We start from the raw sequence: 9,908 nt of genomic DNA, 5'->3' as shown, positions 1-9,908 counted from the left end.
CTTCGCTGTGTAGTTACTACCCTAATTCAGGTGTCACAGATGCCATCCCGCATTCCCATGGCTAGCTCACAAACACCCCTGCCCTCTCAGGACTTCCATCACGTGACTTTCTCCTCCCTGAAACTCTCTGCTTTTCATACCAAAAACCCCTCCACCTTTGGCACTTGTGTGACCTGCTCAGTTTTGGAGACAAACAGGAGGCTAATTCAATTGCTTAAATATCAACTTGCCCTCTTAAATGTCCTTCAGCCATTTCAAGCGACCCAGTTTCCCACCTTGCCGTTCAGCCCCTGCCACCTTGCTGCCTCGTAATGGTTCCTAAAAATGTTGTCCTTAATACGTAGAGTAGTTCAACTCTGTGAAAAGCAATCTTGGCAGCACAGTGGGATCATTTGGGGACCTTAAAAATAATGGTGTTTGGGCCTTACCCCAGGCCAGTTGAATCTGAATTTCAGAAATGGGACCAGGGTATTTTTTAAAAGCTCCCCAGGGGAGGTTGTTGCACAGTGAGGTTGACAGTCGCCAGGTGGCTTCCTCCTACTTCTAAACTCAACCTTAAGCCTCTCTTATTATTGCTGTAGGTTCTCTATTGATTTTGTATTAATCTCTGTAGTTGAAATGGGAACACTGAGGGCTGAGAAACTTCAAAGCTTGAATTTTGAATTGCCATAGAATAAGTATATTTCATCCAGCCCTTCTGGGAAAAAAGGGATGTCATGATATACAAATACTGCAATTTCTAGTATTTGGAAATTGCTGGTTAATGACTCAGTTTCTTATGCTGAAAAGTTTCCTTCTGCCTTATGGATCATAACCAATGTGATGATCAGGTGAAGAACATCTTTGAAGAGATATTGATAAACTTTGTTTGTGGGACAAAGACTAGTTTCTACAGTCAAAATCAAGTTTGTATTGGATAAAACTTGTCTTAGTACCCCAACTTACAGAAATGAAGGTGTTCAAAAGTTTTAGCTTTTTTTCAGTATTTACCTCCAAATTGCTAAATAACATGCTTATATTACTTTATTGATTTTTCAGTTTTAGGCGTTATTTATTGCCCTTCTCTGGCATATAAGGATTTCATTTCTTCCTTTTCCTATCCCCACCATTCGTGTTCACCCTTCTCATCTCCCCAAGTGTATTAAGCTGTTTTGGGGTTGCTATAAAAAAATACCTGCAGCTGGGTAATTTACAAAGAAAAGTGGTTTATTTTGGCTTACCGTTCTGCAGACTGTACAGGAAGCATGGTGTTGCTATCTGCTTCTGGTGAGGCCTCAGGAAACTTCCAATCATGACAGAAGGCAAAGGGGAAGCCAGCATATCCCATGATGAGAGGGAGCAAGAGATGGGGGAGGTGCCACACTCCTTTAAGCAACCATATCTGCTGTGAACTCAGTGCAAGAACTCATGTATCACTTCATGAAGAGCACCAAGCCATTCCTCCCCATGACCACCACCTCCCACCAGGCACCCCCTCCAACACTGGAGATTGCATTTCAACATGAGATCTGGAGGGGACAAACGTTCAAACCATGTCGCCATATTTCCAACTTAGTTCAATTATAATTTTGGTTGGCTGCATAGTTCACAATAGTTGTTTTCTCTTTCTGCCCAACTTTTTATTTTCCCTATACTAAATTTGTCTTATTTTTTCTTTAATAATTCAATCACAAAAGATGTTTGGATATATTGGGTTGTCTATCAGTTACTTCTTCCCATCTTCTGGAGCCTTTGCCTGCTTTAATCTGAACGAGTTGCCCTCGAGGAACATAGTTGTCATCTTGGGATCTTTCATTACCATCCTGTGTGTTCCCTTTACCTTTTTTTTTTGTACTGGACATCCTGTTTCCTGTTTTCTATGTTTCCTGATTTTTTCAGTTTACATCCTCATTTTGGTTGAGCACATCCTCCAGCAGTTTTTTTTTTTTTTTTTTTTTTTTTTTTTGAGTTGAGGCCTCACTCTGTTGCCCAGGCTGGAGTGCAGTGGCATGATTTTGGCTCACTGCAGCCTCCACCAACTGGGTTCAAACGATTCTTCTGCCTCACCCTCCCAAGCAGCTGGGATTACAGGCGTCTGCCACCACGCCCAGATTATTTGTGTTTTTAGTGGAGACGGGGCTTCACCATGTTGCCCAGGCTGGTCTCAAACTCCTGACCTCAGATGATCCGCCTGCCTCGGCCTCCCAAAGTGCTGGGGTTATAGGCCTGAGCCACTGCACCTGGCTGTCCAGTAGTTTTTTGAGAAAGGGTTCATGGAAGGTAAATTCATTGAGACCTTGCTTGTCTAAAAATGTTTTAAATCTATCTTCACATACTCTCCATAAAGAATTGTGGGTTAGAAAGCATTTTCCAGCTGGGTGCGATGACTCATGCCCATAATCCCAGCACTTTGGGAGGCTAAGGTGGGAGGATTGCTTGAGGCCAGGTGTTTGAGACCGCCTTTTTTTTTTTTTTTTGAGATGGAGTTTCACTCTGTCACCCGGGCTGGAGTGCAGTGGCGCCATCTTGGCTCACTGCAACCTGTGCCTCCCAGGTTCAAGTGATTCTCATGTCTCAGCCTCCCAAGTAGCTGGAACTACAGCCAGGAGCCACCACGCCTGGCTAATTTTTTGTATTTTTAGTAGAGACGGGGTTTTGCAATGTTGGCAAGGCTGGTGCGAGACCCAGTTGCTACAAAAAAATTAAAATATTAGTTGGGTGTGATGGTGCACACACCTGTAATCCTAGCTACTTGGGAGGCTGAGGCAGGAGGATCTTTTGCCCTGAGGAGTTTGAGGCTGTAGGGAGCCATGATTGTGTCACTGCACTCCAGCCTGGGTGACAGTGTGAGACCCTGTCTCTAAAAATAATAATAAAAAGAAAGCATTTTCCTTCAGAATTTTGAAGTTTGGTTTTCTGGTGTTGTTATTGAGAATTCCTAAGCATTCTGATATATGGTCCTTTACATATGACCTGTCTATTCTGGAAGCTTAGTTCAATGTCTGATATTTCATGATGATATTTATTGAGAGTATCCATTCTAATTGGCCCTTTCAATACAGAAAGTCATGCCCTTCAGTTGTGAAAAAATTTCTTAAATTGTTTCATTGAAGGTCTCCCCTCTGTTTTTTTGTTCTTTCTACAACTGCTATTTAGATACTAGAAATCCTCTTTTCAATTTTCTTGTCTTTTTTTTTTTTTTTTTTTTTTTTGAGACAAGTTATCACTCTGTCACTGAAGCTGGAGTGTAGTGGCATGATCATAGCTCACTGCAGCCTCGACCTCCCAGGCTCAAGTGATCCTGCCTCAGCCTCCTGGGTAGCTGGGACTATAGGTGCATGCCAGCTCACTCAGCTAATTTTTAAAATTATCTGTAGAGATGGGGTCTCCCTATGTTGTCCAGGCAGGTCTTGAATTCCAGGCTTGAAGCAATCCTCTCAGCTTGGCCTCCCAAAGTGCTGGGATTATAGTGGAGCCACCACACCTGGCCCTTATCTTTTTATTTTATTTTATTTTACTTTATTTTATTTTTACACAGAGTTTTGCTGTTGTTGCCCAGGCTGGAGTGCAGTGCAATGGCGTGATCTCAGCTCACTGCAACCTCTGCCTCCGGGTTCAAGCAATTCTCCTGCCTCAGCCTCCCAAGTAGCTGGGATTACAGGCATATGGCACCATGCCCAGCTAATTTTCATAATTTTTTAGTAGAGATGGGGTTTCACCGTGTCCGTCAGGCTGGTCTTGAACTCCTGACCTCAAGTGATCCACCTGCCTCAGCCTCCCAAAGTGCTGGGAATACAGGCATGAGCCACCGCGCCTGGCCATCTTTTTTATTAAGCTGCTAATTTGGGGCGTTTTCCTCAACTCTTCCCCAGTCCTTTGAGTATTTTATTTCTGTTAACCATAGTAAAAATATATTTTAAAAAATTCTTATTCCGGTTTCAGAAAGTTCTGTCTTTAGTTTTTTATCTAAGTTTTCTAGTTTTCTTCCTGTATCATTCCAGTTTCCTCCACGTTGGGTTGCTTTTTTTTTTTTTTTTTTTTTTTTTTTTTTCCTGCTTTGTTTGGTCTCTGGCTTTCCTGTTACAGGCTTTCTTGAGATGGCAGGTGCTGCTTGGTTATCTGCTGAAAATTCAGAGATAATTCAGGATAGGAGATTAAAATGTCCATTGGATGCTCCAAGCATGTGAATAGATGTGAGCCTTACTGTAGGCTATCTGCCCTAGGTGGATTAGCAGGGGAGGCCCATGCCATTGTCTGTTAGGTCTTTCTTCTTAGGCTAGTTGGGTTTCCTGTGGAGGGAAAAAGAAGAGGGCTGGGTCTCTGCACCTTCAGTTAGTACAGTTCACTAAGCTGTTTTCTGTGGTGGCCCTGCTCTCAGCTGTGCTTGGGATCTGCAGTCCATAGCCCTCTGTTACCTCTCCAGGAACCAAACATCTAGTTAGCTTTAGGGGTTTGGGGGGAGCAGTCACTCCACTGCAGGGTGGGAATCTAGGCAATCTGCTGCTTTAACAGACTCTTTTTTTAATTTTATTTTATTGATTTTATTTATTTATTTATTTTTTGAGACAGGGTCTCCCTGTGTTTCCCAGGCTGGTCTCAAACTCCTGGGCTCAAGGGATCCTCCTGTCTCAGCCTCCCAAAGTGCTAGGATTATAGGCGTGAGCCATCGTGCCCAGCCTGCTTTAACAGACTTTCCGTCCATCTCATTCTAGCATCTCCTTTCATCCCTACTTCCAGTGGTACCTGCGACTGCCAGTCCTGAGCCCCCTAGTGTAATCTGGATGGTTTTTGTTTAATACGGATGGCCAGCTTAGGATTCAGTTTTCTCAGGTCTGCTAAAACATTAAGTATTTATTCATCTGCTGCCACTTTAAAAATTCCATGGTGGTTCCCTTTTTCTTTTTTCCCATTCTTTTAGGTTTGTGCTTAAAAACAAAAAATACCACCGTCATGAACAAAACCTCTACCATCATTTCAGTGTGGTTTTTGGGAGAGAGTGAAACTATACCCTAGTGTTCAAGCCCCATCTTTACCCAGAGGTCATTACTCTGTATTTGAAGACCAATCAAAAGGGAGTGGGCATAAACAAAAGGGAAGAAATGATCCGTTATTAGCTATTAGGAAGGAAAAAATAGCAAGGAGAATGATGAATTCTCTGTAAATGGGAAAAAAGCAGTATGTAACTCTGAAAGGTTATAAGTGAAATTTAACTGGGTTATGGGAATGGGTAGATACCTATTATTCTCTGGCTATGTCTGTTAAAAAAGAATTTCCTTCGTGCATTCAGGTTCACGCACAAATTTGAATTCATAATTCAGTGCCTCTAACAAATCCGTGACATTGGTGACAGGAACACCTGGGTGAGTGGTGAGAACTCCATAGGCGCTCTCTGACCCCTGCTTGCCTTCTTTTTTTTGTTTGAGACAGAGTCTTGCTTTGTTGCCCAGGCTGGAGTGCAGTGGTGTGATCTCGGCTCACTACAACCTCTGCCTCCTGGGTTCAAGTGATTCTCCTGCCTCAGCCTCCCTAGTAGCTGGGATTATAGGCATACACCACCACACCAGGCTAATTTTTGTATTTTTAGTAGAAATGGGGTTTTGCCACATTGGCCAGGCTAGTCTTGGACTCCTGACCTCAAGCCTGCCTCGGCCTCTCAAAGGCTGGGATTACAGGTGTGTGCCTCGGCCTCTCAAAGTGCTGGGATTACAGGTGTGAGCCACCATGCCTGGCCTGACCCCTGCTTTCTGTCACCTTTTTCTCTTGTGAGATGCACCCTGAAGGTATGGAGCCAGCCCTGGCTTGGGAGCCAAACATACCTGGGTCCAAATACTGGCTCTGCCCCTTGCTAACTGGATTCAGGCAAGTCAGGGGACCTCTGTGACTCTGTTTTCCTCATCTGTAAAACAGGGTGGTACCTCCTCTTTATAAGCCAGTTGCAGCGATTCCATGTCTGGCACTTAATAAATGGAAGCCATTACAGTTATTGTGACTCCTTTTCCTGCGGGCTAAATGTGAGTGTGACCCAGAAGCCTGTCTTAACTTTCCTTGTTGCAGCTACTCTAGTCTGTGGCATACAGGACCCAGCCCAGACCTTGACCCTGGCTCACCAGGCTCCCTGTGAGCCGGCCCCTGCCCACCTCCAGGACTCAGTACTCACCTCGCTAAATCCTTCAGATCGTCCCTTCTCACTGACCAACCAGCAGCTGCAGAACCCATCTTGCTGTCACAGGGCTTGCTGCCCTCCTGACCTGCAAGGCCTGTCCCCCAGCAGCCGCCCCGTCTTCCTGGAAATGATACGGGGCACCAGCAGCCTCTGCCTGGGGGCTGTCCTGACAGCCCTGCCCCTTGCCTCCCGCTGCTGTATGGAACCCAGAACAGACCTCTGTACCTTTTATTTCTCTTTGTTTAGATAGCTGCTTCTCTGCTGGTGTATAAGCTGCTTGTGGGCAGCGGTGGGCTATGCAAGGCACATAGCAGGCTCTGAAAAAATGATGAATGAATGGCTAGGTTCAATCACTATTGCTATATCAATGACCACTAAAACTTTTTAAAAAAATTTGGCCAGGCACAGTGTGGTTCATGTCTGTAATCCCAGCACTTTGGGAGGCTGAGGCGGGTGGATCACTTGAGGTCAGGAGTTTGAGACCAGCCTGACCAATGTGGTGAAACCCTGTCTCTATTAAAAATACAAAAAATTAGCTGGGTGTGATGGGAGGCACCTGTAATCCCAGCTACTCGGGAGGCTGAGGTAGGAGAATTGCTTGAACCTGGGAGGCGGAGGTTGCAGTGAGCCGAGATGGTGCCATTGCCCTCCAGCCTGGGCAACAAGAGTGAAACTCTGTCTAAAAAAAAAAAAAAAAATTAGCTGTACCTCTTTGTCTTTTCTACTTCCTGCAGCATAAAATATATGTGGTTAGAAACAAAACAATGAGAACAGCAATGACAAAGAGCCCCCAGCTTTGTCTCAGACCAGCTCTGCTGCTAACTAATGTGCTTCTCTTTTTCGGCCTCATGAAGACCAGAAACCTTGGAGTTACTTGATTCCAGCCTGCTTCTTATCTTTAAGATGCCATAACCTGTGCCTGTCCTCTCGACTTCTCCATATCTTTTTTTAAAAAAATTAAATTTTTAATTAAAAAATTTTAAATATATTTTTTGAAACAGGGTCCCACTCTGCTGCTCAGGCTGGAGTGCAAGTGGCGTGATCACTGCTCATTGCAGCCTTGGCCTCCCTGGCTTAAGCAATCCTCCTGCCTCAGCCTCCTGAGTAGCTGGGACTACAGGTGCACACCACCATGCCCAGCTAATCTTTGTATTTTTTGTAGAGATGGGGTTTTGCCATGTTGCCCAAGCTGGTCTTAAATTCCTGGGCTCAAGTAATCCTCCCGCCTCAGCCTCCAAAGTGCTAGGATTACAGGTGTGAGCCACTGGGCCTGGCCTTCTCCATACCATTTGCTCCCCTGCCATCTTCACTTCCATTGCCACTCTGCTCCACACCTCAATCCTCACCTGTGGCCACTCTGTCCAGCTTGGTCTCCTTGCCTGGCCCCTATTACGTCCTATGACCCACACCCTGTTTGCTCAGTATTCTCTGCCACAGCAGCTGCTCACCTCCCTGACTGTCATGGCTCTTGATGCCTCTGCTGGCCTATGAAGGGCCAAGCCCTCAGTGCATTCGGGCTGGGACCCCAGCCTTTTCTCCTAGTCCTCGCCATACCCTGTGCTATGGCCAAGTGAAGGTCTTGCTCCTGGTTCTCATGTGCTCTTCCACCTTCTTGCTGTCTCTGCACATTCAGCCTATCTCAGTCCTCTTATTGTAAGTTCAGACACCTCCTCGATGGAAAGCATTCCTTCATCTTCTTAGCCTGAAACCCTCTCTCACTTTTATCAGGGAAACTTCTGCTCACCTCTTGTTACCGCATTATAAACAGATTTACTAGATACATCTATTTGCCCTCAAAATCCTAGGTGAGAAAGGAACATCTCTGGGTATCAGAATTGGAGGGGAGGGGCTAGAGAGAATCTCAAAGTCAGAGCTGTTAGGTTAGGAATGGGGGCTCCAGGGAGAATTGAGCCCAGCCAGTGCCCAGCCAGATAAAGGCACCAAGGGGCCCCTTAAAAAAAAAAGTTTCATTAAAGTATAACATTTATACAGAAAAAGGCATACATCATAAGCATGCAACTCCATGAGTTTTCACAGTGAACACATCATGTGCCCAGCTCCTAGAATGCCCATGCAGCCATAGGAAGGTGGAGCTAGAACCAGACCCCTCCATGAAGCAGGGCCGCAGAGGCCCGGCACTTCTGTGAAAAGTAATCCAGAAAATTGGCTCTCTAGCCCAGAGAAGCACAAGGAAGCCTGCCATCTTCCCAGGGCTCTGGGGAATGCCTACTCCCTGGCTGTGAATTTATACAACTGCAGGGAACAGGACAACCAAGTTGAGATATTCACACAAACTTGGTCTAAGACTGGTGGGACCCCTGGGTCCTGGAAGAAGCAAATCAGAAAGGCCTCTTAGGGACCCTTCCACCACCCAGGAAGCAGAGAACCCTGGAAAAAACACCCAGTATGAATGAGCTAAAAAAAAAAAAAAAAAAAATCACAATGGGCACTTTTTTTTTTTTAGATGGAGTTTCGCTCATGTCGCCCAGGCTGCAGTGCAACAGTGCAATCTTGGCCTACCACAACCTCCGCCTCCCAGGTTCAAGCGATTCTCCTGTCTCAGCCTCCTCAGTAGCTGGTTTACAGGCATGTGCCACCATGCCCGGCTAATTTTGTATTTTTAGTAGAGACGGGTTTCTCTGTGTTGCTCAGGCTGGCCTCAAACTCCCGACCTCAGGTGATCTGCCCGCCTCAGCCTCCCAAAGTGCTGGGATTACAGGCGTGAGCCACGGCACCCAGCCACAATGGGCACATTTAGTCATGCAGTATAAGTGAAGAATGGAGGTCACTCAGAAGACACAGTTTTTCATTACCTACAAAGTTCTACATCAATCCGCCCTGGTTCCCCTACCTCTCGCCGCCCCCCTACTCAAGCCATGTGGCCTCCCTGCTGTTCTTTGACAGCCTTGTTATGGGGCTGAGTTGTGTTCCCCCAACAGACATGTTGACATCCTAGCCCCCAGGTACCTGTAAACATGAACTTATTTGGAAACAGGGTCTTTGCAGACGCAGTCAGGTTAAGATGAGGTTATTAGAGTAGGCCTTTAATCCAAAATGACTGGCGTCCTTCCAAGAGGAGAAGACAGGCTGTGACTGTGGAGGCAGAGGATGGAGTGCTGCATCTACAAGCTGAGGAACGCCAAGGATTGTTGCCACCGCCATGAGCTAAAAAAGGCAAGGAAGGATTCTCCCTTACAGGTTTCAGAGGGAGCACAGCCCTGCTGACACCCTGATTTTGCATTTCTAGCCTTCAAAACTGGACGACAACACATTTGCCTGCCTGGTTTGTGGTATTTTGTTCCAGCAGCCCTAGGAAATGAATACAAGCCTCAAATGTGTTCCAGCGCTTGCTGGCCTCTCTGCTTGCAAGCCCTTCCCCGGACAACGCCCTCACTCCCTTCAGGTCACTGCTGAAATGCCACCTTTGCAGAGAGGCTGGTCCTGACTGCACTACTGACCTGGGCAGTTGCGGCCTCTCTCCCTTCCTCCACCTCCTTTAGCTTTCTTCTGGTCCCTAGCCATACCTGACAATATGTTGTATGTCTTTCATCTTTGTTGTAAAACGATTGTCTGCCTTGCCTTCTAGAAGGTACGTTCCGTGAAATTAGGGACTGTCCGGTTCATTGCTGCACACCCAGTGCCTGCCATGTGCCTGACATAGACTGGAGTCTCCCATACGCTTGTTTCATAAGCGAATGAGCTGTTTGAGAATGTTGTTTGTTTTCCTTTTCACTCTTTTATCCTCTACATGACCTAATGTTTTGCT

The sequence above is a fragment of the Homo sapiens genome, chromosome 18 (assembly GCF_000001405.40).
Source record: "Homo sapiens chromosome 18, GRCh38.p14 Primary Assembly".
Lineage (NCBI taxonomy): Eukaryota > Metazoa > Chordata > Mammalia > Primates > Hominidae > Homo > Homo sapiens.
Note: the sequence above shows the minus strand (reverse complement) of the source record.